The sequence below is a fragment of the Homo sapiens genome, chromosome 9 (assembly GCF_000001405.40).
Source record: "Homo sapiens chromosome 9, GRCh38.p14 Primary Assembly".
NCBI classification, from domain to species: domain Eukaryota; kingdom Metazoa; phylum Chordata; class Mammalia; order Primates; family Hominidae; genus Homo; species Homo sapiens.
Window position 1 is genome coordinate 74,343,665 of NC_000009.12, and position 27,788 is coordinate 74,371,452.

Below are 27,788 nucleotides of genomic sequence, written 5' to 3' on the forward strand. Positions count from 1 at the left end.
CAACAAGAGTGAAACTCCGTCTCAAAAAAAAAAAAAAAAAAAAGAAGAAGAAACCAATGTATTTCGTAAATCAATATGCAAGATGAATTTTGGATATCACAATAAATGCAAAAAATAGTATGTGACAAAATCAATACCCATTCATAATTTAAAACTTAGTAGAGTAAAAATACAAAGAGTCTTACATTTGATTTTGAAAGTTTTTTGTCTAATGTAAACATTATACATAAAAGAATATTAAAATATTCCCCAAGATTAGGAAAGAGGCAAAGACAGCCTCCATTACTACTTTTCATCAAGATTTTACTGCAGAAGGTCCTTAACCTTCATTCTACTATCTGAGATTCCGATGTAATGGCTGGAGTTCCGGAAGCTATTTTAGGCAAAGGCCACACTGTAACAATAGCAGAGCCAACACATTGAAGTCCCCGAGCTGCACAACTCCGGACTTGTTTTCCATAAGAAACATTAAATGTCTATTTTGTTTAAGCCACTGGTACTTGGGGTTTCCTACCATTTGTGGCAACACATTTTCCTAGCTGATGCATCACCTGTTTGTGAAAACACAGTTCTGAACTCCTAGGACCAAAGCTTTAAAAGAATGTTCTCTAGCCAAGGTTGGTTGGCAGCACAAGTTGCTTACTACATGTTTTTTGTTGTTGCTGTTGTTGTTGTTGTCGGGTTTTTTTTTTTAATAATGCTAAACCCCACAGAAGAGATAGGAAATTTTTCCCATAGATTTTTTCCTAAATATTAAGCCACCAGGTTAAGATAATCAAGGGTTGAACTAAAATTATTTCATTTAAATGAATGTGTCTATCTTTAAAAGTTTTCCCTCACAAAAGCAATCCTATTTTTTTTTTCAGAGGCTCCAGATGGGACCTTTCCCTGGCATTCAAGTCCCATGAGAGATTAGCTCTGCCACAGGGTATGTAAAAGAAATAAAGGTTAAAAGATCATAAAAATGAGACCATATGTCCAAACATACTGCATACGTGTTGGCAGGAAGAATATAAGTGTTAAGACAGATCATTTTCTGCTTGCCAGGAAATTATATAAAAATCAGAATAAAATAACTCTTATCATTTTAGTTGGGCAGCTTGACAGCAGTTCCCCCTAAAACTTAAAAAGCAAATTTGGCCAATACATCAAAATACCTTCTTATTCCTACATGTAACCTTTTACACCCCAATGGCCAGAAACAGAAAGTCCAAAACCTTGAAAACAAAAAACTAATATTTGTTTACAAGCATAGATTCTAAAATCCCTAAAAATATGTAATAGAACTTTTTTTCTTTGATCTTGATGAGCCATTTTTCTAAAATAATACTTGGTCACTGTGGAGCATGATCTAAGGATTCTATCAGATTTTAAAATATGCTTCCATAGCTCTTACTATTTTCCTCATCACTTGGGGCTGTTCTTTCCCCTTGTGTGGTGTACCCCAATATTCCAGGTCAAATGGGCCAAAATAGAACTTAACCAACAAGTTCGTTCTAATAGAAGATGAGTTTACCTAAACTTCTTAAGGCTTCCTAAACCAAGGCATTAGCAGTGGAACTCTAAGTGAGAAAAGGTATAATTCTCACGGATTTTTAGTAAAGGAAAGAGGAGTCAACAAATGACTAGATCAAGAATTGGGAGATAATGTCACTTTGTGGTCTTAAGTTTCAGTGAGTAAAGGGCCAAAGAAGAAATGACTTTTTAAAATAGGTGTGTGTGCAGCCAGACTTCTCAATCAGGCAACAGTGTTTCTAAAGAAGTAATTTATTTTCAGTAATAACTGATAGAGGATCAAACAAGAGGAAATTGGCATAATATCAAGAGAATTATCAAGGTGGCCTTGAAGCTCAACAACTCACCTTTCTGACACTCTAATCATCCTAAGAGCAGCACTTAGATGACAGACAAAAGATACTAATGGATCAATCTTGACATTCCCATGATGTCTTTCTTGGGAGACATAAGACTAATTTGAAAGGAGAACCACCTCTTTAATAAAAACCCAGTCTTCTAAGAAAGCCAAATATTCTAAGGAAAAAATATAACAAATTAAAATTAAGACTAGCCCCTTTAAAAACAAAAAGTTATTAGAGAAATCTCTTCTTGAACCTCTAGTTCATTTTCTACAGATAATTACTATTAACAAACTCTATTTCTAAACGTTCTGGTAGTTACCAATGTAACTATATCTTGACATAGCCACTTCGAATAGTATGAATTGACAGTCTTTCATTTTTAAAGTTTTTTTTATTTCCTTAGGTTTTTGGGGAACAGGTGGTATTTGGTTACATGAGTAAGTTCTTTAGTGGTGATTTCTGAGATTTTGGTGCACCCATCACCTGAGCAGTATACACTGAACCCAATTTGTAGCCTTTTATCCCTCACCCCCCTTCCACTCTTTCCCTCCAGTCCCCAAAGACCATTTTATCATTCTTATGCCTTTGCATCCTCATAGCTTAGCTCCCACTTATGAGTGAGAACATACGATGTTTGGTTTTCCATTCCTGAGTTACTTCACTTAGAATAATAGTCTCCAGTTCCATTCAGGTTGCTGTGAATGCCATTAATCCATTTCTTTTTATGGCTGAGTAGTATTCCATCATATATATATATACACACACATATATATATGTTCCATCATACATATATACACACATATATATGTGTTCCATCATACATATATACACACATATATGTGTTCCATCATATATACACACACACATATATGTGTTCCATCATATATACACACACACATATATGTGTTCCATCATATATATACACACACATATGTGTTCCATCATATATATACACACACATATATGTGTTCCATCATATATATACACACACATATATGTGTTCCATCATATATATACACACACATATATGTGTTCCATCATATATATACACACATATATGTGTTCCATCATATATATACACACATATATGTGTTCCATCATATATATACACACATATATGTGTTCCATCATATATATACACACATATATGTGTTCCATCATATATACATACACATATATGTGTTCCATCATATATACATACACATATATGTGTTCCATCATATATACACACATATATGTTCCGTCGTATATATACACACATATATGTTCCGTCGTTTATATACACACATATATGTTCCGTCGTATATATACACACATATATGTTCCGTCGTATATATACACACATATATGTTCCGTCGTATATATACACACATATATGTTCCGTCGTATATATACACACATATATGTTCCGTCGTATATATACACACATATATGTTCCGTCGTATATATACACACATATATGTTCCGTCGTATATATACACACATATATAGTTCCATCATATATATATACACACACATATATACATGTTCCATCGTGTGTATATATATATTCCATCATATATATATATATCACAATTTATTCAACCACTTGTTGATTGATGGGCATTTGGGCTGGCTCCATATATTTGCAATTGCGAATTCTGCTGCTATAAACATGCGTGTGCAAGTTGACAGTCCTTTAAAAGGTAAAACATGTAGTACATATACATCACTCCTCCACTTCTTCCTCTAATTCCCCATTGTTTGCTTGTAATTGTAATTGTTTGTTTACATCTTAAACTAATACATTTAGACTTCCATTACTTGATTAAGTAAGTTTAGGAAAAACATACTGGCCCCTTACTTAGAAAAATAAGTATTGTGTAACACCCTTAAACTTCCTTCCACCAGTCTTCCTTTCCTCCAAAAGTGTTACTTATAATATTATTTTTAAATTGTCAGGATTCATGTTTATACTCTCTCCTATAACAATAATTATCTTTCTATTTTGTATATTATAAATCTTAAAATTAAAAACTGACTAATATTATGACTGAATTTTTCAATGTATATGTACACAAACATAAATATAATAAATGTATTATAATTATATAAAAGCTAAAATAATTGAAATAATGTGGCAATGTAATGGAACTCAAGATATAGATCAATGGAACAGAAGAGAAAGTCAAGAAACATGCCCAATATTTTAAACATATTTGAAATATAATTAAATACATATATATGCTTAAGTATAGCAGAATATAAAATGGCACAATTTCAAAACTACAAGAAAAATGAAGATTGTATTATACACATGATTTTGGAACAACCAGCTAACCATTTTAAACAGTACAGTAAATTACATTCCTACATCATACTGTATAGTAAACTACAATCCAGATAGGTTAGAGACATAAACATGGAAAATAAAAGCCTAAAATTACTTAAAAATATACAAACATAGATAAATTTCAACCATATTATTATAGTCACTAAGAATTGCTAGTTGTATAACAATGCATACGGTATTCCATTTACATAAGATTTTAAATACTTAAAAATATATAGTACCACTTTACTACATGGACAAGAAAAATACACACAAATTTCAGTGAGGTGATCTTAGGGTGGGGAGCATCAATCTATGTATAATAAAAGACGAGCATCAAAAAGTGCCAAGAGGGATTCAATTCTAACCATAGTTCTTAAAGTTAAGACATCCTAAATGAATTTGGTAGAACATTAAATTAAGATTTGACCAAATGGAGTAGTGGCTACACAGGTCTTCATTATAATTTCTATACTTCTCTTAACATGTGTAATAGTTCAAATAAAAAACACTCTAAGAAAATATGATAATAAAAATAGCTCGTGTTAAGTTTTCCAATGTACCCATTAGTACTCTAACTACTTCGCCTGCATTTTGTCACTTTCTATCGTTAAGGTAGAAGCTGTACTCATGCACAGATTTAAACATGAACAAATTACAGAATAGATAGATTAAGTAACTTGCTCAAGTGTAAACAGTCTCGTGATGGCATCCGATGCCAGAAGATGCATTATAAAACACTCCCTTAAATGGCCTTTGTATGAAGCGTGCAGGGAAAGCTTTTCTAGATATGACACAAAACTCGAAAGCTGTGAATGAAAGATTGATATATTTTGACTGTGTAGAAATTTGAATTTCTGTATGTCAAAATTACTGCAAACAAATGATTAAAGGAAAAAGATTATCCTTTTTTAAAAAAAATCAGCTTTAGTGAGGTATAAGCTACATAATTTCAAATGCTCCAATTTTAAGTGTGTGTAGTCCAGTGGGTTTTGTCAAGCTATGAATATTGCAACCACAATTATATTCTAGACATAGTTCCATCCTCCAAATTGTTCCCTTATGCCCATTACCAGTTAATCATCTCCCCATCCTGGTGTCATTCCTCGACCCCGGCCCCAAGCAACTACTAATCTGCTTTTTGATACCATAAATCAGATTAATCTTTTTCAGATGTTCACATATGGAATCACATAGTATATACTCTCTTATGTCTGGTTTCTGAATTTTTATGATTCATCCATGTTGTGTTTATCAGTAGTTCATTTCTTTTTATTGCAGATAATATTTTACTATTATATTTTGTTTATCCATTTACCTAATGACGGACATTAGGGTTGTTTGAAGTTTTCAGATATTGCAAGTAAAACTTAGAAGCATTCTTGTATAAGTCTTTGTGTGGACATATATTTTTATTTATTTTAGGTAAACATCTGGGGAGAAGAATGGCTAGGTCATATATTAGGAATATGATCAACTTTATGAGAAATATCTAAACTATTTAAGTTGTTTTATAACTGGACATTTTCATCACCAATATATGAGAGTTCCAGTTATTATACAAACTAGCTAACACTTGGTATTGTTAGTCTTTCTAATTTTAGTCATGTTAATGTGTATGTACTAATATCTCATTGTCATTTTATTTTGCATCATTTTGGTAGCTAATGATGTTGAACATAACTTCATGTACTTATTGACCATCAATATATTTCTTTTGTGAAGTGCCTGTTTTAAGACATTTGATAATTTTTCTATTGAGTGATTTGTCTTCTTGTTATTGAGTGGCAAGGGTTCTTTATATATTCTGGATGTAACTCCTTTGTCAATACATGTATAGTGAATACGCTCTCACAGTCTGGGGCTTGCCTTTTCATTTTCTTAACGATGTCTTTCAAAGGGCATGAGATTTTTTTTTTTTTTTTTTGAGACGAAGTCTTGCTCTGTCATCCAGGCTGGAGTGCAGTGGTGTGATCTGGGCTCACTGCAAACCCCACCTTCCAGGTTTAAGCAATTACCCTGCCTCAGCCTCCCAAGTAGCTGGGATTACAGGCACGTGCCACCATGCCTGGCTACTTTTTGTATTTTTAGTAGAAACAGGGTTTCACCATGTTGGCCAGGCTGGTCTCAAACTCCTGACCTCAGTTTGAACCGCCTGCCTCAGACTCCCAAAGTGCTGGGATTACAGGCGTGAGCCACTGCACCTGGCCCAGAAGTTTTTAATTGTGATGAGTTTCAATCAACATTTGTTTTAAATTTTAGAGTTCTCATAAGATATTTGTGTAACATAAAAGTTTACCTACCACTGGGTTTCAACGTGTTCTCTCCTATGTTATTCTCTAAAATTTGTATAGTTTGGGCTTTTACGTTTAGATCTATGGTCCATTTTGAGTTCTTGTTTGTGTTTCTTGTTTCCCCCCACATGGATAACCAGTTTTTCCAGCATAATTTTTGAAAGACTCTTCAATCTCCCATTGAACTATCCTGGCATTTTGTTGAATATCACTTATCCATATATGTATGGGTCTATTTGTGGACTATATTCTGTTCCATTGATATATATGACTATTTATATGCCATTACCACACTATATTGATACTGCAGCTTTACGGTAAGTCTTGAAAGCCAAATTTGCTATTTTTCAAAATTCACTGGGCTCCTCTAGATTCTTTACTTTTACACGTAAATTTCAGAATTAGGTTTTCATCTTACACTTGTTTTAAAAGCCTGTTGAGATTTTATTTAAGACTGATTGAATCTATAGATCTATTAGGGCACATCAGCATTTAACAGTATGGAGCTTTCTGATCCATTAGCACAACGTATCCCTCCGTTTACTTAAGCCTTCTTTAATTTTACTCAGTAATGATTTGTAGTTTTCAGTGTATAGATATTGAACATACTTTGTTAAATTTATTCTCAGGAATTTTATTTTTTACATCATGAATTACATGTTTGAATTTCATTTTCCAATTGTTTGTTGTTACTATGCAACTTTTTAAATTTAATTTATTTATTTTATTTTATTTTATTTTATTTTATTTTATTTTATTTTATTTTATTTTTTTGAGACGGAGTTTCGCTCTTGCTGCCCCGGCTGGAGTGCAATGGCACGATCTCAGCTGATTGCAACCTCCGCCTCCCAGGTTCAAGCGATTCTCCTGCCTCAGCCTCCCGAGTAGCTGGGATTACAGGCATACGTCACCACGCCCGGCTAATTTTGTATTTTTAGTAGAGGCAGGTTTTCTCCATGTTGGTCAGGCTGGTCTCCAACTCCCGACCTCAGGTGATCTGCCCACCTCGGCCTCCGAAAGTGCTGGGATTACAGGCATGAGGCACCGCGCCTGGCCTGCATTGATCCTGTGTCTATGAACTTGCGCATTCACTTATTAGTTTCAGCAACTTTTGGAAGATTTCTTAGAATCATTGGGCTCTTCTAGATCCTTTGCCTTTACACTTAAATTTTAGAATTTAGAATTAGGTTAGAATTAGGTTTTTGGTAGAAAGTTTTGGAGAAGAGTGGGTATTCTTGTCTTGTTCCCAGTCTTGGGGAGAAAGTATTCAATATCTCACCCTTAAGTACAATGTTAACTGTTTTTATAGATGCCCTTAATAAAGTTGAGGAAGCTCACTTCTAATATTGGTTTGCAGAGAGTTTTTATCATTATTGGGTGTTCAGTTTTGCCAGATGCTTTTCTTTCATCTCTTGGATAAGTACATGGTTTTTATCCCTTTTTTAATTATTATAATATGATAAATTAAATTAATTTTTGAATGTTACAACAATCCTACATTCCTGGGACAAACCCTACTTAGTCATAATGTATTAAGCAGTAAATAACTTAAAAATATTTTAAAATGAGAATAAAAATCTTTGTTTTATGTTTGCCCATTTATTTCGATGTATGATACTCTTCATTCCATTATACAGACTCAGATTAAAATCTGGTGTCATTTAACATATAATCTAGCTTGGCTACTAGCAATAAATCTGCCCAGCTCTCAATTTTCTGAAAAGCCTTTTTAGTGCCATCATTTTAAATAATTTCCCTGGATATAGAATTCTAGATTGACAAGTTTTTCTTTAACAACTTTAAAATTGTCATTTTATATTCTGGAATCCAGAGTTTCTGAAAAAAAAATGTGGTCAATCTTATGTTTGTTCCTCTGTACACAGTGTTTTCATTTTTGTTTTTTCCTGGATGATTTTCTTTTCATCATTGGCTCTTGGCAATTTGATTTTGATGTGTCTTAGTGTGTGTTTTCTTTCTATTTATCATGCCTGGGATTTATAGGGTTCTTAGATTTATTGTTTTTATCAAATTTGAAAAGTTTTTAAGCCATTATTTACTCAAGCATTGTTTTCTGCCTTTTTCTCTCTCTTTTCCCTAGGTCTACAATTGCAACTGTATCTTCCACATACTGTGCAGCAGGTTAATCAGTATTTGCCAATACTCATTAACTGTCAAGTATTTTTAATCATTTTCTGTATGTACTTTAGTTAGCATAGAATCTATTGTTATTTCCCCAGATATGTTGATATTTGTTCTGTAGTTTCTAACCTGTTGTTATTCTCATATGGTAAAATTGTCACTTCAAATTTTTTTTGTAATTTCTACAGGTTTCATTGAGTTCTTTTTGATGTATCCATTATATTCATGTTTTCCTTTAAATGCTTAAACATACGAGCATATTTTTAATTAGTGTTTTAGGGTCTTTACTAATTCCATCATTTTTGTCATTTATAGGTCTCTTTCTATTGACTGATTTTTCTACTATCTAATAGACATGTGTTTGCATGTCTCATATTTCTGCTCAGATGCTGAAATTTGCAGTCATATGCTATTGTGGGTTTGGATTTTGTTGTCTTTCTGTAAATGTTGTTGAAATTCATTTCGGAAGGCAGATAAATCACTTACGGTTCAGTTCGCTCTTTTCAAGCTTTATTTTTAAGCTTTGTTAGCATGCTTTGAAGTAGCCTTTATTTTAGGGATAACTTAGACCTACTACTACTGTGTCACTCTACCAGGGTCACTACTTCTCTCGGTATGGAATGAGGACTCTCTACTCTGGGTGACTGGTGATTAATCATTTCACCACTCTGTGTGAGTTCTGGGAATTGTACAGCTTATAGTTCCTCAGTCATCCTTTGCTCAACTTCACAAAGCTTAGTATTAAGCAACGACTGAAAAAGAAATCCCTATCCAGATTACTAAAGCTTTTCTCAGTAGCTTCTTCCTTCCAAAACAACTTCGAATGTCCCAGCCATCCTTAGTTACAAACTCTGCCTCTTCACTTCAGCAAGCCTGCCATGCTCTGTTGAGCAACTCTTCTTTAGGAGAAAGGATACAGAATGTGTCACTAGACTGAAAGAAGGGGTGATCATAGGCTTGCCTCACTTGTTTCTCTTCTCCTAAGGATCACAACTATTCAATATCTGAAAATAGTTATTTCTTATACTTTGTACAATTTTCTAATTGTTTATAGACAGAATATATTGATACCCTGTTATTCTACCATGGCCAGAAACTGATGTCTTTTTTCTACGAATCAACAATAAAAAGAGTCTATTGTTATTTCCCCATATATGTTTGGGGAAATAACAATATATAATAAAATAAGTCTAAACTGTCTCAAAAAGAAAAGAAGCCAAGTAGATGAATAAGCAATAGATTTTTCTCAAAACAAGCAAATGGTCAATAGATTTATTATCTCATTAGTAATTTAGGAAATTAAATAATACACAACATAATCTGTCCACTTATAAAATTACCAAAGAGTTTAAATGTAATATCTACTATTCTGCAAGCATCAAAAACTAAGTATTTAAAGTCTTATTCGTTTGCAATAAGAAAAACTTTTCTGTTCTCTTTGAAAGTCATTTTGCCACTAGACACAATTCTTTCAAATTGCTGTTCTCTACTACTTGCAAAGATTAAAATTTGATTCCAGTGAAAATAAAATATTGCAATATATTTTGAGATTGTCTGTTTCTTTTAATTTAGTATTCCCATCATTATTGAAAGTTAGCAAGTATGCAGAATTACCGTTCAAACTAGGGTAGCCATACTAATCTGGATTTTGTCTTTATTCATGAAAACCACAAGTACAAACACAGTTAAGGACTGAAGGGATAAGAAAGCATGTCTCCTTCAGCATTTAACCTCTGAAGGATGTTTTATGTTCTACTGAACTCCTTCCCTACAGAGACCAGATTTCAAGTGTTACTTCTTTCTTTTCTTCTCCTCTATCCTTCAGACAACAAATAGGTTGAAATCACTTATATTACTGAAACATGATTTACCATGGTTTATCCACTGGCTTACTCTCTTGAACAAGTCTCTCAAGAAAAAGTGCCATATTGGAATTAAGACTGGGACTATAAAGCAATACAATCCATAATGCAATTGTTCCAACCTGGGACTTTGACAATAAACAGGTCTCTTTGTTCTCACCTGAGCCTTCTTTTTCTTCCCTACATCATCTGCAAGCATTTCTATTTCCCCTGTTACACTCTAAGTTTCTTTAAGTCTGGAAACGGTAACTTAGGGATTTTCATATTCCTAATGTATATAACCTCCTCTAAAATGATATATGAGAAATAGGAATCTGTGAACAAGCTTAGCCTGCCAATGATGTTTAAACAAATTTCATAAAATTTACATCAAGTCAAGATTATTTTTAATCTATAAATAATACACACTGGAAAATCCAGATGCGAGTTTACTTGTAAAATTTCAAGTCACAGTAAGATTTGCAAAACTAACCAACAAAATTTCAGATTAAAATAAATATAAATTTCCAAATACAAAGAGTAAGAAAGGATAGTTTAATTTGAATATCCTATAAAAGTCATGTATTCACAGACATAAAATATATTCATGTCAAGGGTTTTTTTAACTACATCTAGTTTTATAGATGTTAAAGTTAATCAAATTTTGCTTCTAATTTAGTTTGTGAAAAAATCTACAAATAACAATAATTCAATTCTTCTTTAAGTCTTATGTAATATCACTCGATTGGATAATGTATCATAACTGGTTTTGGACCGGGGATACTTGCTCAAATGTTAGGTCAGTCTAAATACTATACTCCAATGCTCATATCAATTACAGCCAAAGTGTAACGTTTTTCTCACAACCAACACCCTACAAACTCGAGGTGATGATAACAGATCCCTGTATGATGAATACTAGATTGTTTGCATTTCTTCACATTCTCTCATTCCTCATAGGAGTTCCAGTGACATTCAGAATCTGAATCTGGCAGAATACACCAAAAATCATTTTCATCATATCGAAGAGGTATTCAGACACTTACTATATCTTCACTGATCCCATCCTGTCTTTGGAGGATACTAAGAATAATAATTACCCATCATTTATTTTTATAGGAAAGAGCCTGATTAAATAAATCTAAGTCTATTTCTAAGTATTTCAATGAAATCCAACTGTGCATTAAAAAGCTGAGTCAGCTTGGTTAACTGTATTGTCCTAAAATCCCATTAAACCTGTTGATATCCCATTTCAATTGAGAAGTATTCCCCAGGACAATGAGCAATCACTGGCTTCAGAGGACAGAGCTTATGTTCTGTATAGCTATATAATGAGCCGGAGAAGGCTTTATGACTCCCACAATATATGGCACCAAGATGTTCTCATAAAGGAGGTCCATAAAAGGTCCATAAAAAGGTCCATAAAAAAACTAATTTTATGCAAGTTCTTAGAAATTTTGTTTCTGATTCTGAGACTCTGCTGTATCACTGTAAAGATAATTATGACCTCATTTCTAAAGAGTTTAAAGGATAAAAGTTTCTAAGAGATGAGAGAAATTATGAGGTTGAAAACAATACATATCAATACAGATCCGAACTAAGTATAAGAGCAAGAGTAGAATGTGAGGATCAACAAAGGCCTGGGAAAAAATTCTAAGGCAACAGCTATGATGAAAGCAGAAGGTAGGGCCACAAAGACGTGATATTAATTGAATAATAGAATTACTGAACTCCTGTTTTTATTCTGCCTTCCCCATCAAGAATTACCTTCTAACTGAAAAGTGTGGAGCACATTTCATTTCCTGACCAATGCTTCTGCTGAAAATGACTTATGTTGAATAAGACATAGAAAACTCACCCACAAACACACACACACACACACACACACACACACATCTGTGTCAAAAACTAAGAGCAAACAGGAATCCAGAGAGATGAGCAAAGCCCACAGAAGTCCACTTTCTGACTAAAATGAGGGGATTTCCTGAGATCTAATGAACTTTTCACAGTCCTCAAGGCATGCAGAAAAAGTATGTAAAGGTGGAAGACAAATAGGAAACAGACATACACTTACATTCGAATTTCCCGAAGCTCAAAGCCCTCAGCATAATTGTAAATAAAAAGTAAGACTGCTGGCACTGCATTCAATAGGGGAATATAAAGAAAATTGCTTATCTTGATGCCGGGGGGAATAGGGGACACACCATAAGTGAGAAGCTGTGGAACAAACAGAATAATATCTTCAAGGAAGGGGGAGTTAGTATGGCAGTATTCTTCTTTTCTTTTTTCTTTTTTCTTTTTTTTGAGACGGAGTCTCGCTCTGTCGCCCAGGCTGGAGTGCAGTGGCGCGACCTCGGCTCACTGCAAGCTCCGCCTCCCGGGTTCACGCCATTCCCCTGCCTCAGCCTCCCCAGTAGCTGGGACTACAGGCGCCTGCTACCACGCCCGGCTAATTTTTTGTACTTTTAGTAGAGACGGGGTTTCACTGTGTTAGCCAGGATGGTCTCAATCTCCTGACCTTGTGATCCGCCCGCCTCGGCCTCCCAATATGGCAGTATTTTTCTGAGGGGCAGGGAAGGAGATGGAATTGGCAAGGGTACACAAAGGACTTCATGGTTAATGGAAATGTTCTCATGCTCAAAGTGCACTTATGTACATGGATATTTTTATGTCATTGTCTTTATAACTAACACATATTTTATAAGGGTTCTTTTTTATTTACTTAGTATTTAATTTTTTAAAAATTCTTTAAATGTCAGGGAATACATCAATAAAAGGAAACCAAGAATTAGTTTGTAACAGAGAACAAACAACTTTAAATACATTCAGAATTAAGTCCATTACATTTATATAACAAGCTATTAAGCATTTGCACATATAATCTCCAAAATACTACAATATTTGAGAATTCATGAACAGGTAAGGTCCAGGAAATGTCCTGATTTTCAAAAACATTCAAAAAGAAAAATTATCAACGATTTATGAATTTTTATCAATTCCGGGCAAAATTCTAGACTAAGTTACTAAACAGAAGATTAGTGAGTTCATAGGAAAGAAAGATCTCTTTCCTTTACTAACGAATTTACTAAGGATAAATCATTTCACAATAATCTCCTTTTCCTTTTCTGTGGAGTTAACAGATTTTAAACAATGTCTTAATTCCAGTAAGGCATCTGCAAAAGGGCCTTCATAAAATGTTTTTGGGCAAGGAGGAAAACATAATATGTGTGAATACACAATCAAGCATAAACATGCATGATTTAACAACAGTTCCAACATATCTTGGTTAATTAATTTTCAATCTAGAACTAGATGCAATAGAATGAAACAGGTTTGTTCTCTGTTGTTTTTTGGCTTCATTTTGGTTCTGTCCCTGTCCTGCTGAATACTTCTAACAATAATCTGAACAAGGACATAGAAAGCATTCTGAGAATTAACAGTTGCATGAGTCAAAAAGTAGTAGACAAGGTATTGATGAAATGAAAGAATTAGGACTCAAAAATATCCTGAGAAGTTTGTACCCTGGCTAAGCTACACAAGATAAAACATAAGAGTAAATACAAGACCTAGTTTAACTACAGTTTATATAAATACTATAAAACAAACAGCCAAATAGTATGGTTGTTAATAGAGCAAAATGCATTTGATCCCCAGCTCTGGGCTGATCAGATAACATCTGAAGCATTTTATCTAGTTAATCAGCAATTCAGTCTAGAAAAAAGTGAAAAGCACATTGTTCTGGGAGAGAGGAGACTATTTTTATGACATGGAACAGTTTGCATTGCTTCTCTGGGCCCCGTTTCTATTTTGTAAAACGTGGATGTTCCTTTCCTTTCTAAAGTTCTTTATATCTATCAGCTCTGCTATGTTCTGCTCTCCTTGTAATACACATTAAAATACACCTAGCTATCCTAGGTTGTGTGCGCATAAAGAAAGCCAGGACAGAGAGGGATCTGGAAACCTCATCACAGAAGAAATCTGTACTTTATAGTCCTGAAAAGGTGACTCGGTGTGGGAAGGATGCAATAGTTAAATGCTTTTTCTTGTTTTGCTTTATTTTTTCCATTTATCTGAAGAGATGTTCTGTAGAACAGAGATTCAAAAAAAAAATTACTGTAGAAACTACCTAGAGGCAAATTTTTGTTTTTCACTACTGTCAGTACAGAAAAGCTTATACACAATGCCTAGAAATATACAAGCAAGAATGGCGATTTTCTGTCAAGAATATTATAAAAAGATTAGGATGGACTCAATGCTCTAAGGTCCCTTCAAATTCTTTGATTCTACACTAGATTTTGATAACATAAAATAACCTAAAATATTGGATCAAGAGATATAGTTCCCAAGTTAGCCGTAAGTATCAACAGAAAGGTATTTTTATGTTGTTGCTTTACCTTAAATGGCAACAAACTGAAAATAAAGCGAACCACTGTGGATCACAGCAAATAGAATAGCATAAGTCTCCAACTATATGACATATAAGTCATATGCTATCAGCTCAATGTCCTGAGACAGAGATTTAAATGTAAGGACCTTTAACCTGTAAAGGATGGCTATTCCCTGCCCCTATGTCCTTCTTCTTCCCACAGACATTATGGTCAGGAAGCTGGTGTCTACCATCCTATAATCAAAACAAACAGCTGGTACAGTCACAGTAAAGATGGACTTAGTGGAGAGAGGAAAGAGACGATTCTCTCAAATTGACAAATCTAAGCTGAAATAAAGGCATGCCAGAGCATTACTCTTCCAGAGCGGATGCCAGACAAATCAGATCGCCTTCATCTCGCTTGATTGATCTGGTCCTCTTCCCTGTTCCATGTGTTCCTTTTACCTTGTCTTAGCAAATTGCATTTAAAACAAAGAGGTAAAAGATAATTTTGGCATTCGGTCTGTGTGATACTGTTGAAAGGGGCATCTCGAAGAAAACTCATGTTGTTCCTTCCAACAGCCTGCAGTCATTTTGATGTGAATAGCTCATGATTAAGAGGTCAGTTCTTACCAACAGCAGCAGATGTTGTTGGCGTTATCTGGGTAGACTGTTCACTGTCTGCAAACAAAGTTCCCATTAAGAGAAAAATTCTAAGTGTATCTTTCCTAGAGGATTACACTCATTTAAATTTGTCTCCTGGCTTGTTTCCATGAGATTTGGGGTTGTTTCAAAGATGTGCTATGGAAATTTTCTCCTCCCAGCAGATGCCATCATTAAGTTGGATAAGAATTTCTGGATTTACGGAGAGATTGGTTCATGGCACACAATCGAGTCTTGTTACTTGGCTCTGTAAACAATCAGACTTCTTTATTATTTAATCAAGAGGAGTTTTTTCCTTTCGTGTAAATGAAGATGAAACTTAGAATAACACATTGCATCTCTAATAAGATTGAAAATGTTACACTTTTATCCTTTGTAAAATTTAACTAAAATAAACCTTAACACAACCTCTTCAGCATAAATAGCAGGAACCAGAATATTAAAATATTGTGGTTTTGTAACACATGGGCCTTAATGAAAGTGTGTACTGCATGCTTGATTACTTACTAGTCTCTGTCCCCTGATTATGCTCTCTGACCTCTTCTGGAAATAAATGCCTCCCTCTGCTCCTTCAGTTTTCCATATGACATGAATGTCAAGATAACTAGAAAAATTAAAAACAATTAATGCGATGTGAGGAAAAATGGAATAGTCTCATTAAGGGTCGCATATTTGGAAAAACTCTTTTTTTCTCTTTCCATCGCTCTCTTTCCTAAAATGCACCAAAAGGATAAAATAAGGATAAAATCAAATTGTCAGGCTTAGAAGTTTAAGGTCTCTCTCTGAAGATTTCTGGCAATGTTTTACCTCATCTAGAACCAATACAACAGCAAAGCCATTGCAATGATTGCACTTAGGATGAGAGTGAGGATAGGAAACCAGCCTGGGGTCAAATGGAATGAAGAATAAAATTCTTAAAGGTATTATTTTATAATATGACAGTGAGGAAATGAAAGATTACAATTCAGCTGGGGGCAGTGGCTCACGCCTGTAATCCCAGCACTTTGGGAGGCTGAGGCGGGTGGATCACCTGAGGTCAGGAAATCGAGACTAGCCTGGCCAACATGGTGAAACCCTATCTCTACTAAAAATACAAAAAGTAGCCGTGTGTGGGGGCAGGCACCTGTAATCCCAGCTACACAGGAGGCTGAGGCAGGAGAATCGCTAGAACTCAGGAGGCGGAGGTTGCAGTCAGCCGAGATCGCGCCACTGCACTCCAGCCTGAGTGACAAAGCAAGACTCTGTCTCAAAAAAGAAAAAAAGAAAAACAAAACAAGAAAAATAGAACAAAAAACAAAATGAAACCAAAACAAATACAATTATCCTTTTGTGACAATTGATTAGGTAAGAACTGCACTCCAGCATGGGTGACAGAGAAAGACTCTGTCTCAAAACACACACACACACACACACACACACACACACAGAAAAATTACTATTCAATAAGTAGTTTTGTGGCAGGTTCCCCTCATGCCCTCTCTTCACCTGTAAGAGATAATGAAAATAAAATCAAGTTTTACAGGAAAAGCAAATGGGTCATTCTTTAGCCCTTAGTCAAGTTGTGTACTAGAAATTGAATTTGGAAATAAACTGGGACAATGCCTGATTTTTGTGAGGAAACTGAGAGACCTACAAAAGTTAAGTAGTTTTCTTGACTCACACAATTGACATAATCAATAGTCTGGAGCAAGTATTTCAAATATAATTTAAGTTATTTAGCAAGAAGACATGTTCTTAATGATCAAAACACATTTATTGGCAATTACTTAAGCGTGGCATTGACCAACACAAGGTAAACTGAACCTTGTCTTCCCTATCAAATGTATTTTCTGCTTTCTCACCTAGAACAGAAAAGACTTACTCTGATAAGGACTTAGACCATTCAAAGCTGTATTTTAAAACATAAAAATGAAACAGTGAAGTGCCTATCATTTAATCTTAGTAGATCATATCTTTTTAGCCTGAGTTCACCATTCTGCAGTTCTGAAAGCTTATGCCACTGCATTGATGCATTTTACCTTATATTTAGAGCATATGAATTCTATATTGTTTTCAAAACAATAAAACAACAATTCTATATTGTTTTCAAAAGTTTTTACAAAAGACCTTAATCAGGAAGGATAAGCTTATTCTTAAATATTTATATAATCCAGCTCTTACTGCACTCTCTGCTGAAGTCATTAATATTTTTCACTGCTGTTGCATAGGATATAAATTAGGATGCTGATTTCTTATTTTAAAATTTTTGCTATTAAGAGCCCAAGTCTGATGGTGAAGAGGCTCTGATCTGATACTAATTAGCTATATGACTTTAAGCAAATTATTTAATGGCTAGGTGCCTTGATTTCCTCATCTATAAAATGAACAGTAGTACTATCTGTCTGCTTATCTGTGAGAATCAAAGATATCATTAGTACGAAACTGCTTTGTAGAGTTAATAGCACTTTTTGACTGTAAAATGGTGGTGATGATGATACTGATTAGTGTAGCATGGGCAGGTCTTGAAACTATGCCATTTCTCTAGTGAAGTAAGAGAGTGACTTGCCTGTATCATTACCTGAGTCACATTTGACACACACCTGGGATTTATATGTTGCTTCCTGGTTGTTAAGGGCTAGAACCTTCCTTAACTATCAGATTTCTGTCATCACTGAGTAATAGCTCCCCATCCCCCCTCAAAAACATTTTTAAAACTTGTGAACCTTGTCACCTGCTTTAGCCTAAGCAAAATCTAAGAATGGTAGTCTAGAAGGTTTCCATGGATACAGTCAAATATCTTATACTACTCCAGTTACGTTTCTCTGTTGGGCAAACAATCACACAAGATTTACTTCTCTTCCTAATTGTTCCTCCACAAAGGATGCTGAAGTAAGAGATGACATAACGGTGGCTTGTGTTCCACAGGACTCCCAAATGTTTCTTTTGAAGAGACTGAGTCACCTATTTATATTTGCGGAAGTAACCAAAATTATAAACAAAAGTATCTATCATATACAAGCTAGTAATATTTGTAGGAGTAAAAGCTCCAGAAGGCAGGAACGATCTGTAACATGAAACACCTCATGAGCAAAATGGAATTTTAGGTCATGAGTCCGTAGATTAAAGGCAAAGAGAAAATTTATCAAGGCTTGACCTTAAAAATGTGTTTTCAATTTCCTTCATTCGTAATTTTACACCCACATAATGTGGCAATAACCGTTTTATTCAAATTCTTAATATAGTCATTAAGTATAAGACAATGACACCCTGGATGGGTCAAATGGCATTTGAATAAAGAGATAAGCTTCTTTCCCAAAATCACTACTGAGTTCCTGGTTGAATTTGCCTAAATAATTAGGCTCTTTTCCTTCATAAACAAGTTCTCCACTTCAAAGTCCAAAGTGATTTGAGGAGCTGGTCTTTTCTCCAACAATCCCCAGATTAATAGCATTAGCCTAGAGTGAGCTGGGGGTGCTGTCCAGCACAGATGTCAAATCAGCGTGTCCATAACTTGGTTTCCTTTCCACTTTGCCCTGTAAAATTTGATCGTTGTGGAAGATAAAACTGCTCTTCCAAGGCTTCTGCCCTATCACATGGGACTTTGAGAGGCCATATTTTCATAGATTTTTGATTGACACAACATAGGAAGCTCAGCAACTCTGCCTGGAGGCCACCATGCTCCTTCAGGTAATTTCTAGGACCTCGAGGCCCCTAAGTAATGTGTAAACACTGCCACAACAACAAGCTTGTTACAGATTATGGTACTACCCCTGAAGCAAGACAAGTTTTTCAGTTTGCTACTTTGTTCCTACCCATTGAAAAAATATCTATCTCATATATTTTCCCCCAAATGCATTGAGCATGGCTTAAATTTACATTATCCTTCTAAATAAATTTAACCAAACACAAAGTATCTTCTATTTAAACAAGGATTTCCCCACTCTCATCTATAATTTTCTAATTTTATATTGAGTGTTTCTTTTTTCGGCTTGCCTTCTCCCCATCCCAGCCCATGATTGCCAGCCTCTCTATGAGAGCAAATTGCTCCCCATCTCCTCTGCTTCCCTCCTGTACTTACTACTTCCTACTATCAAGGATTAAAATCTCATCAACAATTGATCAGGAAAGTAAATCCTACTCGAAGGTCTCCAAGTGGTTTTTCTTCAGAAGTACAATGAATTTCCAACGTTAGTCACACTGCAGAGACTAATATAAATATTTATGCAGTGGTTTACTTATAAATGGAGGGTCATGCTTATATTGGTCCTGAGTTTTCTTACAGATAATTAACTGTATCATTGTCTCATTAACTAAATGTACTGTATCAACAAATGCTACCCACTCCAGGAACTAAATAAAATGTTTCATGGATATGAACTTTGCCATAAAAGAAAAGCGTGCAATACTGGGTAAATTAAAATTTTGACCAAAGGGAGAAAAATTTTTTTAAAAAGAAATGTGTAAAAAGTAACAGAATATAGCACTCTATTGTATCCCTTGTGGTTAAAAACAGTTCATAAAAGTATTACACAAAATAGATTTAACAATTTTATATTAGTGAAATAGCTCAAGCCTGTGGGTGGAGAAGTAGGTGGATAATAAAGTTTTTAAAAATCATTCTTTACATCAACAAAGGGTGAAGTCTGTTAATCATTGTGCATGACAACTTTTGTGTGTCTATTTAATTAGATATAAATGAATCACCCTCTTGAGCTATTTCATTTATTATTTGCACTCAATTAAGTGAATTTTGACCAAATGGGTTATAATTACAACAGCCATGCTGAATATAATAGTAAACATTTCCCTTTACTTATTTTCAGAGGAACATAGTGATTTCCTTATGTGAGTATAAATTTGTGTTTCCTCTAGTACACAAACTATGAAAGACACCAATGTCACTGATACCCAGATCCTCACTGGTCCTGTAGAGTATTTTATAATTCTATCAACCAAGTCACTTGAAAGGGACTAAAAGATCTTCTTTCTTTTTTGTCTCAATCATAAATGTACCAGGAACAAGGTTTCTTAATATATTAACGTTCTCAGTCTTCCTTCTTCCTATAAACCATGTCCACTAAAGACAATGTTACTAACAAAGGGCTCTTCCCTTACTGTCTCTCATGTGAATTGTAGTCTTAAGACAATGCTATAAATATACTACTCACCACCCTGGCTTGTCTGTGGAATTATTAGGAATCATTTTGCCCAGTGTTGTCCTTTCAAGCTATCTGACTCCTTCTGTATTAGATATGTCTTCTTTAAACTGCATAGAGTTGAATTTAAAAAAAAAACCAGTTCTACAATTGGAGCATCTCATCTATTTACATTTTGTTGTATTCTAGACTCAATCAAGTCTAACAGGTAGTTATGTGACCCTCTATGTGGGCAGCACAAGCATTTCTGCGTTCTTTAATTCCTTTGCAGAATGAAATGTATTTGTTTATGTGTATTTACATTTTACTTATATATATATGATACAATAAATATAACATTAATATTATTTATATAGGCTATGTTTATTTAGATTAACCCATGGATGTACAATTTGTCTTGCCCTGCATTTCTACCATCACTTTATTTCCTTCTGAAATAATTTTTCTCCTACCTAAAAATACCCTATAGTATTATTTTCAGTGTAGGACTGCAGGTGATAAATCTACTTCAATCTACTTCAACAAATGTAATATTTAAAATGTCTATTTCACCTTCATTGTTTATTTTATTTTATTTTATTTATTTTAAGTTCCAGGGTATATGTGCAGGATGTGCAGGTTTGTTACATAGGTAAACATGTGTCACGATGATTTGCTTCACCTATCAACCCATTGCCTAGGAATGAGACCAGCATGCATTGGCTATTTTTCCTGATGCTCTCCCTCCCCCCTCCCACCTCCGACAGGCCCCAGTGTGTGTTGTTCTTCTCCCTGTGTCTATGTGTTCAGACGGTTCAGTTCCGACTTATAAGTGAGAAGGTGCAGTATTTGGTTTTCTGTTCCTGTGTTAATCTGCTGAGAAGAATGGCTTCCAGTTCCATCCATGTCTCTGCAAAGGACATGATCTCATTTCTTTTTATGGCGGCATAGTATTCCATGCTATATACGTACCACATTTCCTTTACCCAGTCTATCACTGATGGGCATTTGGGTTGATTTCATGTCTTGGCTATTGTGAATAGTACTCCAGTGAACATACATGTGCATGTATCTTAAAAGTAGAATGATTTATATTCCTTTGGATATATACCCAGTAATGGGATTGCGGGATCAAATGGTATTTCTTGTTCAAGGTCTTTGATGAATTGCCACACTGTCTTCCACAATGGTTATTTCACCTTCATTTTGAAGAATATTTTTAGTGAATGTAGAATTCTCTATTGGAAATTATTTTCTTTCAGTTTTATAAAAGCATCATTTAATTTTCTTCTGTGGAAAAGTCAGCTACTGTCTACGAATTGCTCCTTTAAAGTCCATTTCCCTGTTTCTGGTTGCTTTTAAGGTTTTTTTCTTCTCTACCTTTGATTTTCAGCAATTTTATTATTATAACAAGCCTAATCATGAATTTCTCTCTCCACCTCAGTTTCATATAGTTTCTTGAATCTATGTCTAGATATCTGTGATTAGTCCTGAAAAACTCTTGCTCATTAACTCTTCCAAAAATGCATCTGGCTTATTTTTTTCTGTCTTATTCTTTGACTCCAAATAAAGAATGTTATACCTTCTCTTTATATCATCTTTTATTTTGTATCTTAATTCTTGGTGACCTCATTGCTTCCACTTGGATATTTTTTCTCACCTATCTTTTAGATTACTAATTCTTCTGTTCAACTGTATCTAATTTGCTATTAAATCTATTCATTGGGGTCTAAATTTTGATTTTTTTTTCCATTCAAGAATTTTCATTTGATTCTCTGCTAAAATTTTGAATCTTTACTTTTTAACTTAATAATCCCTGTTATTTTAGTGTTTATGTATAAGTAACTCTTAGGAATTATTTAGACTTTATCTTAATTTGATTTCATCCATTATTTATTTCATCTGCTGTATATTCTGGCTTTTCTTCATGTGAATTTGTCTTCTTAAATGCCTGATTATTTTTATTTTGTACCAAATATTTTATTTATGAATCATTTGTAAAAATAGTTTGAGACTTGGACCGTTATCTTTCTCCAGAGAGGATTTATCTTTGCTTTTGACAAGTACTAATGGGCATTAACTCTCTGGGAAAATCTTTGCACAAGTTCACTGGCAGCATAATAATTCATCTTTACTCCTACGATGCAGCCCATTTGGGTTCCTACGCTAAGATGAGTTTTTCTGCCTGTTGGTCCTGGGCTTCAATAATTGCCCATTTAGTGCTGTTCAGCCCCTCATCCTCTCAGCCACACCTTTTGGAATTGACAAGTACCTATGTCAACCTGCTTTTCCAACAGGAATACAAACCCAAATGCCATGGCTGCTTCTTTGGATCTTTATCTTCTCCTGGCTTCTACTTGATAAGTCTTCATAGTTTTGTTAACAGTCTGATTCCTTTAAAAATACTTTTTTTTAGCACACGATCAACAAGTGTATGAAAAAACCCTCAATATCACTAACCCTTAGGGAAATGCAAATTGAAACTACAATGAGATACCATCTCATACCAGTCAGAATGGCTATTATTAACATGTCAAAAAAATAACAGATGCTGGAAAGGTTGCAGAGAATAGGGAACACTTATACACTGCTGGTAGGAATGTAAATTAGTCCAGCCACTGTGAAACGCAGTCACGAATTTCTCAAAGAACTTAACAGAGTGTTACCATTCAACCCTGTAATCCCATTACTGGATATACACCCAAAGGAATATAAATGGTTCTACCATAAAGACACATGAATGCATATGTTCATTACAGCACCGTTCACAATAGCAATAACATGGAATCAGTCTAGACGCCCATCAATGGTAGATTTGATTTTAAAAAAATGGTACATATATGCTATGGAATACTACACGGCCATAAAAAAGAATGAGATCATGTCCTTTGCGGCAACATGGATAGAGCTGGTGGGCATTTTTCTAAGCACATTAATGCAGGAACAGAAAACCAAATACTGCATGTTTGCACTTATAAGTGGGAGCTAAATGTTGAATACACATGGATACAAGGAAGGGAATAATAGACACTAGGTCTACTTAAGTGTGGAGAGTGTGAGGACACTGAAGATTAAAAAACTACCTATCAAGTATTGTGCTGATTACCCGAGTGACAAAATTATCTGTACACCAAACCTCTGCAACACACAATTTACCCATGTAACAAGCCTCCACATGTACTCCTTGAAACTAAAATAAAAGTTGGATAAAAAAACACATACGGCCAGGCACAGTGGCTCACACCTGTAATCCCAGCACTTTGGGAGGCTGAGGCGGGCAGATCACAAGGTCAGGAGATAGAGACCATCCTAGCTAACACGGTGAAACACCGTCTCTACTAAAAACACAAAAAATTAGCCAGGCATGGTGACAGGCGCCTGTAGGCCCAGCTACTCGGGAGGCTGAGGCAGGAGAATGGCGTGAACCCAGGAGGTGGAGCTTGCAGTGAGTCAAGATCGTGCCACTGCACTCCAGCCTGGACGACAGAGCAAGACTCCATCTCAAAAAAAAAAAAACAAAAACAAATACATCACACACATATATAGAGAGATACATTTGTTTGAGTATATAAAACAAAATGAGATTTTGTGGTTAGTCAGACTAAAATTTACTGAGATGAAATCAATATCCTTGGCCATTTCTTAATCTATCTAAATAATTGGGTCTAAATATAAAGATAATCACATAAAATAAAAACTATGATTTCTAATAAATAAATAAAATACTTTTTAAAGATTTAAGCAGTTTTTAAAATTGTCCTTATAAGAAAGTTTGGTTCAAATTACTTAGTTCACCATCATTAGATGGAAATCCTAATTCTAACCATCTTCTAAGGTCCAGTTCAAATTTAATCTCCTCCACAAAGCTCCTTCTGCCACTCTTTCTTCTAGGCAGAACTAAATCCTATTTCGTCTCTGTGCCCATACCTGCCATTTTAAGCCAGAGATTAGAGAACTTCTATCTGTCATTATGGTTATCTATGTGTCCCTTTATGAGAAGGGATGATATATTTTTGATACCTTTGTCAAGAAACCAAAAAATGAACAATGTACTTAATTTTTTAGCTATTGAAACACTTTTGCACTGACTTTGCACTATTTTAGCACTCTCAACAAACATGCCCTGAAAATCCAAATAAAATAATTTAAAATGGAAAATTATTGAGAAAAATGGTGTTATTCTCATTTCTAATAACAGTTTTCAAAATCAAACTTATACCATACAAAAAGTATCATGTGGTATTCTATATTGGATAGAAAGAATTATGCTGCTGTAATTTACCTTCAAGGCCATCACCACTGTCTGCTAAATTCTTGGAAGTACAACTTTCATCAACAAAGTGAAAACTCATTCAGTAAATTCTGGAGAATATAAAGGTAAATCTTTCAAGATAAGGAGAAAACACAACTTCAATTCAAATACATGAGACATAATCTGACGGGGCAGAAAAAACTTGAAATATTTCTAATAATTGAAGGCAATAAAGAGATCCTGGTCTGTCCCCAAGTTATCAAATTACCTATGTCTTATTCCATTTTATATATATATATATATATATATATATATATATATATATATATATATATATATATATAACAGATACACAAATATATATAAGTATATATATATAGAGAGAGAGAGAATATATATGATGGAAAATATAGATATACATATCTGAGATATATATATGTCAGAGATATTCTTTGCCTTTTTAACGTTAATCATTTCTAATCCATTCTATCCTGGGTTCTATTGTTCTTCAGTTCTTTTTTTCCCGCATATAGTATTGACGTCTTCCATTCTTGTCATCTAAAATTCAGGATGTACTTTCACAAAAGTTCCTAAATTGTAAATGTTGATGCTTATGACCTATTTGGAACAAAAACAAATCTGATATGGGTAGAAATGAATGAATCTTTGTTTGGTTAGTCTAGGTTAGATACAAGGCACTTCTAGGATGCTATGGGCAAAATACTAAAAAAACAGGAAAACCTAACCATGGAACACAACTGTCCCTTGGACCACATTGCCCATAGTGTGCCCAAGAGAGAGCATATATTGACAGATAGGCCTGTGTCTCTGATACTCTGAATTGACGAATGACTTGAAAAACTTTAGATATCTATAGGCACTGCTAAGATGGCTTTCCATGTTTCTCTTTTCATTATGTTATTCAACATCAGAAGGCTGCAGCTCCAGGAATACGAAGCACCATGTTTTGTGCCCTCTCATCCTGCTCAGTTGTGTGTGACTACTGCAACATATTAAAAAAAGAAAGCAGGTATATGTAAATGTGTGTGATGGTGTGGTATACACAGTATATGAGTGTGTGTGTATGTGTATGTGTGTTCTAGGCTTGTACTATACATGGAATGTGTATGGGTAGGGGAGGAGCAGGGTACTGAAAGTTATAATGCATAAAACTAGAATTTCGGCCTTAAAAGATAGAATTAAGAATTGAGAAATATGAGAAAAAGTAAATAATCATATAAGTATACATTTTAAAAATCCATGAAACAAGACTTTCCATTTACAATTGCCTCTAATTAGTAATACTTGACATACTCTCTATCCAAGTTATCATTGGGGCACAGATGAAAACAGAGTTGAGGGTGAAAGCCAACAATACCACCAGCAGCCCAATGCTAGAATATGAGTGGGATTTTCATTTACTGTGAAGCAGGTGGAGATAGATTATGAAAAAAAATTGTGAAGTCTTCACCTTATGACATTGATAGGCTTTGTCCCATGAAATAAACACAACCTGAGAAAAAGGTAAACAGACACTTTGTACCTCCCTCACATATGACCTTGAACTCAGAGATCCTGAGTCCGTGCTAAGCAGAAATTCTGGGCAGTTCTCTTTTTTGTTTCCTAATAATTCTAATCCACTTTTAGATTCACAAAATTCAGGCCTCCTCATTATCCCAGATCTACCACTTACAACTGCATAACTTGGACAAACCCCTTAACTTTTCTGAGTCACTTAACATTTTGAAGATAGTGTCTATGTCATTGGTGTCAAGAGATTTAAGTAAGTACAGGGCTTAATAAATATTAGCTTATTTTACTTTTAAGAAAAAAAGGCAAAACTGGCACAAAAAAGGCAAATATTTTATTATATAAAGACAGCATAGTTTTATTATTTCATACTACTGTGGCCTGAATCATCAATTCTGTTTGCTGATTATTGCCAAAAGGGAGTGCAGAGAAATTATTCTAAAACTAAAGTAGTTATTTTTGGAAGCCATTCTATTACTTTTAATTGGTATATAAATAACAACCGCATACAATGAATTACCTTGTTTAGTTATTTTGGTGCATATTCACTCACAGTTTATTCTGGAGGGTACACCAGAAAATAGCACTACTGAAAGCTTAGCATTTTATGGATAGTTTATGGATATTTTACTTTTGTCCAGGCAAGCGTGTGATTTTACTTGCCTTAAATTCTTCAGGTATAATTATTTCTGTGATATAATATGGAGTATATCTTGGGGGTTTTATTGCCCATTTGTGCAGGCACTGAAGCCAATTTGAAACAATCTTCTGAACAGAATCCTGGCCCCCTGGCATAATTATATCCAAGCAGAGACAGCATGCATGCATTCATACTAGATTTCTTAGTTATCCCCCCAATATCAGGCAACTTTATTCCTAACTTGATTATCTCCTAGTAATACTGGGTCTATGTAGAAATGGCAAAATCAAAGTCATACTCAAGCATCACTATGAAGTGTAATCTGGAGCTGTGTAACATGTACATTTAGTCTTACAAATCTCGATTCAGGGACAGGTTTTTAGAACACTCAGACCAAACTGTCCCATGTTCTAAAATATGCAAGCTAGGTCAGTTGCCTACACATCTAAACTGCAACCATTTCTATCCTACCTGTTCCCACTATAAGGAATTATTTCTACTGCATCATATGGTGGTATAATGTCATCAGCATGTATGGAAAACACTTATGTATAGCTATAAGGAATGTCACATATCTACTGTGATGTGTTACCTAGGATATTATTCAGTATATCACAGGTAATTCTCATTATGAGAACTATAAAGAAAAATAAACACTACCAGTTGTGTCTCCCTCTGCCTTTTCTCAACCCTCTTCTCCTTATGAGTTTCTCAGGCTCAAAAAGGCAGGTGCTCACACTCCCAGCCTCTCTTGCAGGTTTGAATGGCCATGATGACCC

The 27,788-nt window shown here is 34.6% G+C and overlaps 1 long non-coding RNA gene across 1 annotated transcript; it reads right to left on the reverse strand.

Moving 5' to 3' along the window:
- On the reverse strand, nt 1-27,753 carry LOC105376087 (uncharacterized). The gene is made up of 4 exons (XR_929947.2): nt 27,670-27,753; nt 15,981-16,077; nt 1,863-2,031; nt 1-20 (listed from the first exon to the last, which is right to left on the reverse strand). It is a non-coding gene; the product is annotated as an uncharacterized LOC105376087 (long non-coding RNA).
- Nucleotides 27,754-27,788: the final 35 nt, after the last annotated feature.